Source organism: Homo sapiens, chromosome 3 (genome assembly GCF_000001405.40).
Source record: "Homo sapiens chromosome 3, GRCh38.p14 Primary Assembly".
Classification (NCBI taxonomy): Eukaryota; Metazoa; Chordata; class Mammalia; order Primates; family Hominidae; genus Homo; species Homo sapiens.
Genome location: NC_000003.12, coordinates 44,307,414 through 44,323,726, shown reverse-complemented (window position 1 = coordinate 44,323,726; position 16,313 = coordinate 44,307,414). Strand labels below are relative to the sequence as shown.

At 37.4% G+C, this 16,313-nt stretch overlaps 1 protein-coding gene across 4 annotated transcripts in view; it reads right to left on the bottom strand.

Moving 5' to 3' along the window:
- Positions 1-16,313, bottom strand: part of TOPAZ1 (testis and ovary specific TOPAZ 1) — a 94,804-nt gene that overhangs the window by 12,963 nt on the left and 65,528 nt on the right. For 2 of the 4 annotated variants that reach the window (XM_011533694.3, NM_001145030.2), the window contains exons 16-18: positions 13,737-13,902; positions 2,536-2,700; positions 432-635 (exon numbers count right to left, since the gene is read on the bottom strand). In XM_011533694.3, the coding sequence (XP_011531996.1) occupies positions 432-635; positions 2,536-2,700; positions 13,737-13,902 (535 nt within the window). Of the gene's footprint in view, positions 1-431; positions 636-2,535; positions 2,701-13,736; positions 13,903-16,313 lie in introns of those variants that run through there. The other 2 variants (XM_017006361.2, XM_017006362.1) reach the window with 2 other exon arrangements.

Sequence of the window (16,313 nt, the reverse complement as noted above, 5' to 3'; positions counted from 1 at the left end):
TTTATGCTTCTGATGTGACCTGCTATTGAATATTTTTAGTTATAACAATTAGGGATATAGCAGAGATAAATAAAAACAGATCTTCTTTAAACTTCATTCTACCCACTTGTTTTATGCTTGCATTATTTATAAGATATGCCAAACTGGTTCTATCCTGTCATTTGTTCCCTTTGCTCGCCCTCTAGCGGACAGGCTACTGTGCAAGAAATAAAGATTGGAAATTGCAAACATTGGAAATAAGGAAAGCAACTGGAAACAGAAGAGAAACAATAGGTTTCAAAAGAGAGCACAGATCTGTTGAGACCACTACATTTGAATATGTATTACTGCTCTTTTAATACATATAAATATCTAATCTTATATATTATAAATTCTGGGTTAGAGAATACAATTATAAACCAATATATTAAAACATTTTAAATGTAACTTACTTTTGTAGTGGGCTCTGGCTTTGAGCCATAAACGACTCCTTCCTAAAGAAGTAATTAATCTTCTGAGAAAGGAAAAATCAATAGGGATGCTCTTTGAAATCATGAATTCTGCCACAGAGGATGACATACCAAGACTACTGCTTTCTATACAGGAACCTAGAAGCTTATTAAAAAGAAGGCTATATTGTGAGACTTCCACAGTTTCTGGAATAAAAAAAATGATATAATAAAATTCATTTATATTAAAGTGTCTCAAACCTCCATCTCATACTCCTTTTTCTTTCTCCTCCCCTTCACCCTTTCTTACCCATTATAGGACTCACAGTCACTAAAATGCAATCATTTTATATATTCTCTTTATTTTTCTTCTCCTTTTTTGAGACAGGGTCTCACTCTGTCAGCCAGGCTGGAGTGCAGTGGCATGATCTTGGCTCACTGCAACCTTCACCTCCTGGGCTCAAGTCATCCTCTCGCCTCAGCCTCCTAAGTAGCTTGGACTACAGGTCCACCAGGCCTGGCTAATTTTTATGTTTTTTTGCAGAGGCAGGGTTTCACCATGTTGCCCAGACTAGTTTCGAATTCCTGGGCTCATCTATGGCCATACCACCCTGAACACGCCCATATCGTCTGATCTCAAATTCCTGGGCTCAAGTGAACTGCCTGCCTCAGCCTCCCAAAGTGCTGGGATTACAGGCATGAGCCACCGCGCCCAACCTATCTTACATATTCTCTAAGTCAGAAACGAAAAAGCATTTGACAAAAGAAAAACCATTAACTTCCTTTGCAATAGAGAAGATAAAAAGAAGCTTGACAAAAATTTCAGAGGATGCATTAAGACCTCTGTATTTGATTCCCACATGTAACTGTGTATCTGTAGTGTCTTGAATAATTTCTCAATTCTGTTTGTATTATATCTACAGTTCAGACCTTAGCCTTATATATCCCTTGACTAAAAACAAATCATCCCCTAATAAATATTTACTGCCAAATTTAAAACAATCCTTTAATGGATTTTCTATTCCTTCAGTTATTCTTAGAAGAAAGAGAAGTCATCTTAGAGACTTCTCTTTTATTCCCTATATTCAGTCAGTTGGGTCTGTGAGCTAGACTGTAGTTCCTTACTGCTTTAGAATCTTTTAGTTATCCAGGACTTATCAGGAAATTAATCTCTCTACTTTTAGTCTTTTCCTAAACACTACTGCCAGAGGAACTTTCCTGAAACACCAATTTCATTATATCACTCCCTAGACCCAAAACTCTAGTGATCCCTTTTTATACACAGAGAAGAAAATTCCTTTAGCCTGACATTTAGGGTCTTCCAAAATCTGGCACAACTATCTGTCCAATCTCCCTATTACTACTTTGTTTCATTACCAACTAATTGTATATTAAGAGATTGCTAGATAGCAGCCATTGGGCCAGGAATACCAAGGTAAAGAAAATAGTACCATCCTGATTGAGCTCACTTTGTATAAGGAGAAACAGATAAGAATGCTCATTACAATACAGGAGCACAGTGGAATTAAGTGGAAAAATGAAAATTTATAGATAGTACGATGAAAGTACTGAGGGGAGGCCCTCAGGTTAACGTTTTCGTCATCCTCTGAACCTATCACATAGCTCATTCTTGACCCAAAGCTTTTGCTCATGGACACCCAACATTCAAGAGTACTGACTACCATTTCCCACATTGGCGTTTGAACTTGGCATCTGTTTCACTTCCTCCATTTCTTTCAAGTTTACCTGTGTTCCTAGGTAATGTAAACTAAGTTCTGTATTTATTCAGTGATAAGAGAAAAAGCTTGCTCAGGGCATTTAAACATATTGTTTGCTGATGACTTGACAGAAGTAGGGAAAAGGGAATGATAAAAATGCTTGTCTTAGGAACTGCTGACAAACAACCCAAAGATAAGCATCTCAGATTTTTTTAAACCATCAGGAAAGTATATTCAATTTGCAGAGAACATATTTTACAGAAAACTACTTCATTAAAAAATATGCTGGAATATAAAACTCAATCAAAACAGGTGGATAACTATTTCTTATTAACAGTTAAACACCAGATGGGCAAGAGATAATTAAGATAGACTTTTAAAAAACATACCTTGGGAATTTTGAAAACCTGGTAGATTCTGCAAAACTTCAAATGTCTGTCTATAAAGGCTCTTGGCTAAGATTTCATGTGCAATTGTACAGAGTAAATTATGTCGATTAAGCACATCCAGTCTATCACAAGGCCACAGAGGCGTATTGATTATCCACTCTGACTCTTCCAAAAAGAAAAAAATATGAATAGTTTATACCATGAAAATGACACTTAACAGTATAATCACAACTAATGTTTCAATATATCTTTTGAAGAAACAGGCAAAACTTAAACATATGTACTCAGAGAAGATAACCATGGCTCAAATTTATTAGAAATAACTTATATAGTGATGATCATCATCTGAAGAAGATGCAAACAAATGGCCACTTTGTTATATTTATTTTTAATTAATTCTTCATCTAAGTGTACTAGTCAATTACTAATTTTAAATGTTTATTTTTATATAAAAAAGTTCAGATTATCACAAATATTTGCTTTAACATAAAATATTATTTATGTGGACAAGTTTAACAATTTCACAATAAATAATTTAATTAGTTTTTGGTATTACTGGGGAATAGCTTTTCTTTTCTTTTCTTTTTTTGAGATGGAGTCTCACTCTGTCACCCAGGCTGGAGTGCAGTGCAGTGGCGCAATCTTGGCTCACTGCAACCTCCGCCTCCCGGGTTCAAGTGATTCTCCTGCCTCAGCCTCCTGAGTAGCTGGGACTACAGGCGCGTGCCACCACACCTGGCTAAATTTTTTGTATGTTAAGTAGAGACGGAGTTTCGCTGTGTCAGCCAGGACAGTCTCGATCTCTTGACCTTGTGATTGGCCCACCTTGGCCTCCCAAAGTGCTGGGATTACAGGCATGAGCCACTGCGCCCGACCAGCGAATAGCTTTTCTTAACACTTTCTATTTTAAAAACAATTTCTATTATGAAATCGTTGTTGTATACAGAAGAATAATATATGTTATAAAAGCATAATAATAAAATTAACTCCTGTGTACCCATCACACCCACCTACGACCCTCAAACCAACAGACCTCAGACCCTCTTTAAAAAAAGAGAATATTACCTATAATGCTGAAGTTCCTTAATTTCTGCTCTGATTTTCACATTGAGAAAAACAATGGGAGACTGTAGTACAGAACACTGAGGTACTAAAATGTTAGAAATGTCAATATTTTATCATTTACCTAATTTACTCAATCATTATACACATAGTGAAACATTACTATATGTAACATTCAAATCATATTTTGGTGCTCTTTTTCAACTGAACTAAATGTAGAAGTAATCCTTTTATTTTGTGGCCTTCCTAGCACAGTGAATATAAAAAGTATTGAAGAAAAAGTTGATAATTCAAATATATCATGACAAAAGAAAGCTTTTAGTATCCAGTATAAAGCTTTAAAAAGGAGCTTTTCAATTACTAGAGCCCATGTGATTGACTGATTGACCTAACAGAGTTATACTATGTGTTAGGAATGTTCTAAGTGCTTTAAGAATATTAACTCATTTAGACAGATACTTTCATTAATTTGCTTCTACATTTGCTGACATTTTAATATAGAGAGAAATGTAAATGAATTTAATATCTTCAAAGACTGTATGATCATCTGTTAAACATAATTCCCATTAAAAGTAAAACTGTTCGTTCACCATTCCTTATAAAGTGAATTTTACTTTGATTGAATAAGTTCAATTATTTTTTATCTGTTAGATATATCCCATGTACAAAAAGTAGATTATATAAACCTTTTCTCATAAAAATTGCATCATTTTTCTTTAATACTTATTCTTTATATTTAAGGTAGGGTAATGGTCACATTTTTTGGAAAGTATATATGGTATTTTAGGAGATTCATTTAAAATTTTTATCAAACTGTTTAGGTATATAAAAAAATCTGACCTAGCATGCTCTCTCCCCACATCATCTCCCTGTCTGGGTTTTTGTTTTTTTCTGTGTTGCCATCTTTTTTAAAAACCTGTTCAGTGTTGCCAATCAACCAACGGTCTGTGAGGGGCAGCATGGGATCAGGCAGCAGGGTTCTTCCCCGCCTTGCCTTGGTTCCTTTGCAGGATTGAGCCACCTGGCCGTGGGGGAAGGGGTCAAGCTATATCCCAATACGTGTAGGGTAATGGTCCCTGGTGGCACATCCAGGTTGTGGGCCGAGCTGTGCTGGGGAGAACAGACCTGGGCATGGAGGGGAACTGCTCCCCAAAGGTTTCCGGTTGCCTCTCCTCTTCCTACTTTTGTCAGCCGATCAGTTTGTGGTTTCTGTGCCCGCAAAGGCTTCAGGAAGCATTAACAAAAGAAAACTATATATATATATTTTTATATATAAAGGTATACATTTAATATAATTATATAAAATATATATTATATATAAATAAAATATACATATTATATATATAAAATACATATATATATTTTTTTTTTCCGAGGAATGGGGCAGGGATAATGGAGATGGTGCTGGGAAATGAGTCCCCTGGGAGAGGGGGCCTGGCCATGATGCTGAAATATCTCAGGCTTCTGAATGGCTGGATTTCCCTAGGACCCTCAGAATAACAGACCTCAGATCCTCAGACCTGCCCTGGGGCCTGGTGGTGAAACTGAGGCCCGTACAAGGCAAGTCGAATTCTGAGTTGTTGGGACTAAGCCTGACCCCCTCTCTATGCAAACCCTCCCCCGCCCCACTCCCCCACCCCCCACCGTGGCCCTCAGTAGGGTTTTGTTTTGTTTTTTTGAGATGGAGTCTCAGTCTGTCACCCGGGCTGGAGTGCAGTGGCACAGTCCTGGTTCACTGCAACCTCCGCCTCCCGGGTTCAAGTGATTCTCCTGCCTCAGCCTCCTTAGTAGCTGGGACTACACGTGCCTGCCACCACGCCCAGCTAATTTTTGTATTTTTAGTAGAGACAGGGTTTCACCACGTTGGCCAGGATGGTCTCGAACTCCTGACCTCAGGTGATCAATCCACCCACTTCGGCCTCCCAAAGTGCTGGGATTACAGGCGTGAGCCACCATGCCCGCCCCTCAGTAGGTGGAGCCCCCAGCCCTTCTCCCCTTCCTGGCCTGACCAGCCATACTGCTTCATCACCCCGGGCCACAGGCCCTGTCAAGTACTGCACAGGGATTCCCACCCAGGGGCCCTGCACCATGAAATAATGTGAAATACTGACTGTGGACCAAACACAATCAAACCTCTGTTTTTAAGAAGAAAAAAAATCTGAGTAAGCTAATTATTCTATGTATCAAAGTCGACTGAAACTGATAAATGAGAAGTCACTTAGAAATTAATAGCTTTAAATTTAATCTAGCTAGTTCACAATTCTACCAACATAAATACTTTTATGAATATTTTATGAGAACTCATGAGAATTAAATTCCCAAGAATAAGAAACAGTTTACTAGTGGGCTTAATACTAGTTTTATAGCAGTAAAAGTTGTTATAGCATTCATCTTCATGTTTTTCTCTATTTCATATTTGGGAAATATTTTCTATTTGTCTAAAATCTCAGAATCAAAGGGAGAGCATATTTTCCATAATAGCCTGTTTTTATCCACTTACCTTCTGACATATGCACATTCAGTCATTACTCACACAAGATTTTGAATATACACACTGGGAACATAAAACTATTAAATGAATTTCCAAGCTAGTCAGTGAGACTATCAAACAAATAATTATCTTTTCCAACAGTAAATACTAAAATGGGGGAGTATCTAAAGATACCTATTTTTCCCCTAAGGTATACATTTATTTTTATTTATTTTTTTGAGACCGAGTCTTGCTCTCTTGCCCAGGCTGAAGTGCAGTGCCGCGATCTTGGCTCACTGCAACCTCTGCTTCCCGGGTTTAAATGATTCTTGTGCCTCAGCCTCCTGAGTAGCTGGGATTACCAGAGCCTGCCACAATGCTAGGCTAATTTTTGTATTTTTCTTAGCGACAGGGTTTCACCACATTGGCCAGGCTGGTCTCGAACTCCTGACCTCAAGTGATCCACCGGCCTCGGCCTCCCAAAGTGCTGGGATTACAGGCGTGAGCCACCAAGCCCAGCCAAGGTATACATTTGATATAATCCCAATCAAATTTCCTACAGAACTGTATTAAAACCTGATTTAGTAATTCTGAAATTCATTCAAAGAATAAACAAGCATAGCAAAGAATAATTTAGAAGAGGAGTGAGAGTGGATAGACAAATGGAGACAAGTGGAGAGAGGATAGACAAATATCACATATTCTAAGATTATATTAAATAAAAAGAGCATCGTGCTAGCATAGAAACACAGAGATGCTTGGGAGAAAGGTGCAGAAACAGACCCAACAGATTCAAGATTCTAATATATGATAAAAATGGCATTTCAAGTAAGTGAGTAAAGGATGAAATGGGAAAACATTTTGGGGAAATAAATAAAATTAACTTCCCATCTAATACCAAAATTTAAAACTAACAACAAATGAAAAAATTGAAGAACATATGGATGAATACGTAACTTTGAGATGACTAAGGACTGCCTAAAAGCATGATACAAAACAAAAATTATTAAATATTTAAAAAGCAGCAGTTTATATTAAGTAGAAAAAATGTCAGTAGGCAAAAGAAAACAAAAAATGCAAAAAACATCATAAAGTTAAAGAAAAATGAAAAGCTAGGAAAAATATTTGTAAATACCCAACAGATCAAGGACTAGTATCTTTAATATGTAAAACTACTGCAATATAAAAAGGACATTATTATACAGTGTGATATTTCCTAAGTGTGATATACACATCACTGATGGTACCTGAAAATTTTAGGTGTTACATTAGAATTTTAATAATTGTATTTTAAAAAATTATAAAGATCACATTAAATACAAAAATCACAGTAAATCTGTGATTTCACAAATATTTGGATGAGGCTAAGTTGCTTGATTTACTTTAAAAAAAGTTTACTTTATTTATTTTTTTTGAGACAGGGTCTCACTGTGTTGCCCAGGCTGGAGTGAAGTGGCATGATCACTGCTCAATGCAGACTCGACCTCTGGGGCTCAAGCAATCCTCCCACCTCAGCCTCCTGAGTAGCTGAGACTACAGGCGTGTGCTACCATGCCTGGCTAATTAAATTTTTTTTTTTTTAAATTTCATAGAGACAGAGTCTCCCTACGTTGCCCAGGCTGGTCTCAAACTCCTGAGCTCAAATGATCCAACTGCCTCGGCCTCCCAAAGTGCTGGGATTACAGGCATGAGTCACTGTGCCTGGCCTTAAATGTTTATTTTTAAAATATAAATGTTTACTATAAAAACTCAAGCAAAACAGAAAAGTACAAAGAAGTATTTTAGAAATAATTAAAAATCCCATGACTGCAAATAACCAGGGTTCACATTTGGTGAAAATTATTTGAGAAAGAGGTGTTAATGACCTAAGTAGTAGGTCTTGATGAGTAGATATAAATGGAACTGTGGTATTCAATCAAAGACTAAAGATGGCCTGGGCTAACACAGCTTTGTGCTGGGAAGATCCAGCCACTGATTGAAAATGAAGATGCCGGGCATGGTGGCTCACGCCTGTAATCCCAGCACTTTGGGAGGCCAAGGTGGGCGGATCACCTGAGGCCAGCAGTTTGAGACCAGCCTGACCAACATGGAGAAACCCTGTCCTACTAAAAAAAAAAAAAAAAAAATAGCCAGACGTGGTGGTGCACACCTGTAATCCCAGCTACTTGGGAGGCTGAGGCAGAAGAATTGCTTGAACCCAGGAGGCAAAGGTTTACAGTGAGCTGAGATCATGCCATTGCACTCCAGCCTGGGCAACAGAGCAAGATTCCATCTCAGAAAAAAAAAAGAGAAAGAAAATGAAGACAACACGTTTTTTCTGAAATGATTTTTCTTAAATATTAACATTGTTTATATGCTTATATTCGTACTGTAGTCACAGGCGCTGGTCCACATGTGTGAGCTAAACTTTATGCTAAATTTCATAGTATAAACACACACACACACACACACACACACACGTTCTTTCAAAACCTGCAACCATTTCCTCTTTGGAAGGTATAAAGATACATAAATGAAGAACATCCATCCATCCATCCATCCATCCATCCATCCACCTCAACTAATATTTACTAAATATTTACTCTGTGCCAGGTACCACCACAGGTGAAATACTCTAAATGTAATTAACTTTCAAAGAAATAAAAATGGTAGTATTTATAGCAGTGGTTAAAGAACGCAGTGGGGGAGCGACTTGAGGGGGTATGGTTTAGGAACACAGGTAAGGTATGAGAAAACGTCACTATGTGAGAGTGATGTAGGGCAGTGGTCTTCAAAGTGAGGTCCCCAGATCGGCAGAATCAACAACATCTAAAAACCTGACAGACATGCAAATTTTTAGGACCCACCCCAGACTTAATGAATCAGAAAATCTGGGGGTGGGTCCAGCAATATGTGTTTTAACAAGCCCTCTAGAGAATTCTGATAATCAAGGTTGAGAACCCCTGTCTTAGATTTACCAAAAACAAGCTCAATACCACCATTTTGCTCAGGAGGCTGACTATCTTAGGTTTGGATCTGTTTGTGTAGTTTGTGCTTCTGATCTAGTTGCAATTTTATGAAGTCTATTTAGAGGAAAAACTAGGAAAACAATAGTACTGGTGTAGTAGTTAAAAATACAGACTTTGCAGTCAGATAGACCTGGATTGGAATTCCTGCTTTACACTTATTTGTTGTGTGATCTTCTCTGAACCTCAGCGTCCTCATATTGGGATACTATTACCTACGTTATGGGGTTAGTATTGATTAGATGAGATGACACAAATAATACACTTAGCACAATGCTTGGTAGATAGTGAATACTCACATTATTATGAAACCAATAATGAAGAGAAATGCTAAATTCAGAAAACAGACCAAGAACATAAACAGGCAATTCACAAAAAAGTAAGGTCCAGATGGGGAAAAAATTTCTTTAATAATTAAATGCAAAGTTGGCCGGGTGCAGTGGCTCAGGCCTGTAATCCCAGCACTTTGGGAGGCCGAGGTGGGCAGATCACGAGGTCAGGAGATTGAGACCATCCTAGCTAACACGGTGAAACCCTATCTCTACTAAAAATACAAAATATTAGCCAGGCGTGGGTGACAGAGTGAGACTCCGTCTCAAAAAAAATAAATAATATAAAAATGCAAAGTAAAGCTGTGAATAACTTTTGCCCTATCAAACTAGCAGAGAGATAAGAAAAATAATAATACTAATTGTTGGCAAGGGTATTTCATAAGCTGCATCTTCATACACTGTTAAGTAGACTGTAATTACTACAATCTAACTGAAGGTGTAGAGGACTTTTATAGTCTCCTCACAGAGAAAAGACCTGGAATGGAATGTACTGAATAGCTAGATTAGGGTTTGCATAACCTGGAATGTACCAGTCTGCCTGTCTGATAACCAAAAAACATAGTATCAGGCACTAACATCTGGAATTGTTAACTAACATCTGCACCTGTGATACCTAAAAGGACATGTTTGTATAGAAGCTATATCTAAAGGAAATAACTCTCTAAGATTTTCTAATAAAGTGGGGGGCTTTTTTTTTTTTTTTTTGAGACAGAGTCTCGCTTTGTTGCCCCAGGCTGGAGTGCAGTGGCGTGATCTTGGCTCACTGCAAGCTCCGCCTCCCGGGTTCATGCCATTCTCCTGTCTCAGCCTCCAGAGTAGCTGGGACTACAGGTGTCCGCCACCATGCCCGGCTAATTTTTTTTTTTTATATTTTTAGTAGAGATGGGGTTTCACTATGTTAGCCAGGATGGTCTCCAACTCCTGACCTCGTGATCCGCCCGCCTCGGCCTCCCAAAGTGCTGGGATTACAGGCATGAGCCACCGCACCTGGCCCGGGGGAGCTTTCTAATAAACCTGAAATAACATCTGCAAATCTGAATAGGGAAAATTTGTTGATATTTGCCAAAAAGCTTTAAAATGCCTTTACCCTTTAACACAGCAATTCCATCAGAATTTATCCTAAGGAAAAGTAAGATTTAGCGGTGACGTTTAGCAGGAATTATCGTTTACAACTGAAATCTGAAAAACAAGCTAGTTCAGTAAAAGTGGATTCATGGATCAAAAGACAGATCTATCCATCTGTCTATTTATAAGATAGAAAACCATGCAGCCTAGTAAGTGATGCTGTAGAAAAATTTTTCACTGAAAGGCTACTGCCTGAAAAAAATGCAGAGTATAAAAGTGTCGGTATAACAACATTAAAGTGGATAATAGCAATTTCTGGGTGACCAAATGATATGGGATTTTTAACATTAGTTTTGCTTATCCAGCTTTTCATATTTATTAATATGTATTACTTATACAAAGGCAATAAGTTATTTCAAAATTCAAAGGCAGTTTCTCAATAAATGGCATAACTTTTTTACAAAATTTGATTATAGAGAACTAAGATACTTATTTTTCAGCCTCTGAACAAGGATTATAAAATGATAGTCTTAAAACCATTTTATATTTCAAGACTTTTTTATGTTGGTTTTGGGAGATGGCATGGTAGCAATCTGTTGCTCATTTGCAGGATAAAAAGCACTAGTATGAGAAAGAGTTTGAAATGTCAAAGTGAAATGCCAAAACAATAGATTTGTTCTCGCCATCAAATCTGTCACTCACCAAACAAAAAAATGTGTGAGATATTCCGCATTTCTCAAACTTGAGTAATGTATGTAACTCCATCTTTTGCAAATTCAGTAGGTAATAAAAGCATATTTTTAAAAAGGAAAAATATATGTAAAAAGTTAATCTGCTACTCTGTCCTCCAAGCACTCAATTTCTCCTTCCAGAGGCAGAGTCAGCCACTATTACTAGTTTCTTGTGCATTCTTCTACACATATTTTAAGGGTATATAAGCAAATACGTATTTGTCCATTGTATTATTATTCTTATTCGGATGGTAGCAACTGCTCTGTACATTCCTGTGTTTTTTTTTTTTTTTTTGGCTTTGCAATAGGTCTTGAAGATCATTCCAAATGAACACTTACAGATCTGCCTCATTCTGCTTTATCATATGGCTATAACACAGTTCAACTGGTATTCCCTTAATGAGCATTTAAGCTACCTGGAATTCTTTGTTACCATTGTTGGTGTAACAAAATATTCCAGATAATTTAATATGCATACCTTTGTATACAGGTATAAATGTGTGTGCAGTACAAATTCTTAGAAATGGAATTAGTAAATGAAAAAAAAATGTGTTTTAAACTTTTGACATTTATTTTGCCAAAAAGCTCCTAAAGACAACCTCTGTGAATGTCTATTTCTCTATACCCTCACAAAAAGCATATCACCAAACTTTGATCTTTGATAGTCTAATGGGTTCAAAATGGTGTTTGTAATTGTAATGTATATTTCTCTTATTACAAGTGAGTATTAATCTCACTTATTATCAGTGAGATTGAGCCATTTGTATTTCCTTTCTTGGGAATGGCCTGTTCACTATAGAGCCCTTTTAAGAATTAAAAAATTCTAGGAACAACTGAGCATACTTCTGTGGCCTCTTCTTTTGTAGAGATAAAATTTTACTTATGAAAATTACTTTTAGTTGAAACTGTCACTGCAAAAAAAAGAATACTGCTTATAATTGATAGAAGTTTAAAGTTAGTCTAAAACGGAAACATTGAAATTTAAAACAAAATCTCCAAAGATCACTCCACATCTCTCCCACAAACTCTCCCAGTTTCTAGTTTGAGAAAGACTGGTTTTGCCACAAACTTTCAGACAGGAGGTTCCTATCGTAAGGTGACCCAAGTTCATTTTTATAAACTATTTTCACCTTCCCATTTCTTGACACATCGCTTCTTTCTTCACAGAGCTTGTGAGCTCTGGCTTATATTTCATTAATTTCCATTTTTGTATTTTGGTACTCTTCCCACTTAGGAAACCTCACTGACTATGTTTAAGTTGAAGAATACCTTTACAAACGAGCTTTTGAATGAAGCCTACTCACAACCTCTGTATTAAACCCTCAGCACTGAACATATACAAGATATTTTATATACATATATTTCCCATATATGAATCACATGTATATGAATATATATATATGTGCTAGTGTTTGTGTGTTAGTGTGTTTTACAGTTCTCAATTTGCTTTATTTATTGATTCCATCTTCCCACCTAAACTCCTGAGATCCTTGAGGTTTTTTCGTTCTTATCCCACTTTATCAAATAAAATCTGCCTGATGGTCCAAATAGCCAGCGCTATCATTAGCTTCATTAGTATCGTAACACTATTGTGCTCTTTTTAATTTTTCTCATACCAAACTAACCTTATTTGTTCCTGCTGGCTTAATTTCACTGTAATTTCTGCTTAGAAGAATTGCCTTATCAAGGAAAGTAAGCTCTACTCATCTTGGTTTGAAGTCATGTTTGCCCATACATATGAAGATAGAGTTTACGCACACTGCAATCAGGATTTCCATTTTACACAGCGGCTGAAGCCTGGGCTCTGAAGCTGGATTGTCTGGATTTGAATTTGGCCTCCATTCCTTACTTATTATGTCATTTTGGGCAAGTTGGTTAATATCTCTGACAGCATTTTCTTATCAATAAAATGGGGATTTTAATAGTTCCAAATTCAGGGTTCTATGAAGATTATTTGGGATAATTCAGGGAAAGCATTAATATGGAGCCTAGGCCATAGCAAGAATTAGGTTTTGCTTTTTTTTTTCTGAGATGGAGTCTCGTTCTGTTGCCCAGGCTGGACTGCAATTGCGCGATCTCGGCTCACTGCAACCTCCGCCTCCCGGGTTCAAGCGATTCTCCTGCCTCAGCCTCCTGAGTAGTTGGGATTACAAGCGGCCACCACCATGCCTGGCTAATTTTTGTACTTTTAGTAGAGACAGGGTTTCGTCATGTTGGTCAGGCTGGTCTCAAACTCCTGACCTCAGGTGATCCGCTGCCTTGGCCTCCCAAAGTGCTGGGATTACAGGCATGAGTCACCACACCCGGCCCAACAAGAACTAGTTTTTAAATGAACAAAGGCTTATATAATTTCTTCTTTAAGGCTAAGTTAACTTTCCCCTTTCAGTTTACATGACAACCTTTCCTACCCACATGTTCACTAGGGTTTAGACCAAACTATTAACCACAGTTCAATATCAACTTAAGGTAATTACATAGACAAAAATGCATGACAAGTATAACGAATTATTTTATGCTTGCATATATCAGGACTTACCCCTCATTACCCAAATGGCACCATCTAGGCTTCCACTTTTTAGAAAAATTTCTGCTGCAACATTCACAATTTGACATCTTGATGCTAACTTCTCAGGCCCTATAAGTCCTTTTAAACTTGTAAAGTGTATTTTTAATTCATATAGTTTCTCTAAGACCTTCCTTCCCTAGAATAAAAATAAAGAACACTAATTGGGTATCAATCATTTACAAACACACAAAGCCACTGATAATTATTCACAAGCCAAGTATCCAGTTTGAATCATCATCCTAGACTGCTGGCTGTTAAGCTGCTCCAAGACTCTTTCCTTAAGCCCCTTCCTGTTCAGCCATACAGATGAAAGGGAAAGAGGAACAAGCAAGGCTCTGCCTCATATTAACCACCTCTTCCCACCAATACCACCAGACCCCCTTTATCAGAAGCCTTCTTTTTATTTGTTTTATACACTGTACTTCTCCTTAAGATTTCATGTGATGAAAGGCTTCCATGATTTAGCATAGAAAACTACTGATTATATGTTTTTGCTCCTCTTCTGTTGGTCAATCTGGGATCCAGGAGGGAGAGAAAGTAAAAATGAAAATAATTTGTTATCAAATTTAAACATACTCAGGAGGAGGCTGAGATGGGATGATCACTAGAACCCAGAAGTTTGAGATCAGCCTGGGGAGTGTGGTGAAACCCCTGCCCTACCTTCCAAAAAATTTAGACAAAGAATGATAGTGAAAAAAAGGATAAACTTGTTAGCTAAAATTCTTAATTCCGTAGACTAAGTATTTCATGTATTCTACATGAAAATTACCTTTGGTTTGGACATCAGAAATTGGACATATATCATTATTTTATACCATGAGCCAGCAAGCTTTTCCTGTAAATGGCCAGATAGTAAGTAGCTTAGGCTTTGCAGGCCACATTTAGTCTGTTGTACATTCTTTTTGATTGTTGTTTTTTAAATTTATAACTCTTTAAAAATGTGAAAAAGTCTTAGCTTGAGGGCTGTACAAAAACAGGCTTTGGGTGAGTTCTGGACCATGGGCCTTAGTGTACAGACCCTTGTTTTATATTCTATAATATTTGAATTAGATGCTTATTATGATGTCAAGCTACCTTCAAGATGACTGTATAAAAGAGTGCATTTTTAAAGGGATATGTTTAGTTTACTGTCAATGATTTTATTTTTACATTCAAAAAGGAATAGGTTTCATTAAAAAATTCATACTATGTAATAAAATAATTTTCTAAAGTAGTTAAAATTTTTAATTAAAATAGATAAAATTCACCAATCTACCAATGTCTCAAATAATAACCAAATAAAATTAAAATATACTCTAAAATTTCAGCAAAATCAGTCTGAGTTTCTCTTTTATTAAATTTGAGATGCAGTCTATAAAGACACATGCATATGTATGTTTATTGCGGCACTATTCACAATAGCAAAGACTTGGAATCAACCCAAATGTCCATCAGTGATAGACTGGATTAAAAAAATGTGGCACATATACACCATGGAATACTATGCAGCCATAAAAAAGGATGAGTTCATATCCTTTGTAGGGACATAGATGAAGCTGGAAACCATCATTCTGAGCAAACTATCGCAAGGATAGAAAACCAAACACCGCATGTTCCCACTCATAGGTGGGAATTGAACAATGAGAACACTTGGACACAGGGTGGGGAACATCACACACTGGGGCCTGTCATGGGGTTGGGGGAGGGGGGAGGGATGGCATTAAGAGATGGAGTCTTGTTCTGTCACCCAGGCTGGAGGGCAGTGGTGCAATCTCGGCTCACTGCAACCTCCGCCTCCCGGGTTCAAGCAATTCTCCTGCCTCAGCCTCCCGATTAGCGCCATCACCCCCTGCTAATTTTTGTATTTTTTAGTAGAGATGGGGTTTCACCATGTTGGCTAGGCTGGTCTTGAACTCCGGACCTCAAGTGATGCCCCCGCCTCAGCCTCCCAAAGTACTGGGATTACAGGTGTGAGCCACTGCTCCTGGCCCAGTCTGAATTTTTATAAAGGATCTTCTTGTTAGATAGTCCTCAAATTCCCAAGCACTAAATAGTCAAGAAATTAATGCTATGACCAACCTTAAGCTCAATTGTGAGAGCAAACACAAGGTACACCTTGCCTACTCCAGGCCTACCACACAATAAGAGCTAAGCCTCCTGAAGACTTTTGAGCCTGGAGACCTACTATACAACCATTCTAGGTTAAAAATTTTTTTCTTTTTACTTCGTGAATTTTGTAGGTATACAGGTGACCATGTACTTAAATGTTATTGAACGTATATATTCAATTGTGAAATAACCTCTTTATAAAAGCAGCAAGTAACAAAAGATAAACTTTAATAGTTAATTCAATAGTGACCACACTCTCTACTCTACTCTCTATATAAACTCCATCCCTCAGCACTTCCTCCCTATTTTGGATTTCCTGTCCTCTACTTGAACTTTTTTGAGTCTATAACTCCACCTGCCACCTCAGGAATATGTGAAGAATGGTAATACAACATGGTCTTGAGTCACTAAACCATCTCTATGGTAAGCTAAGCCTCAAAGTTAGACATCAAGATATAT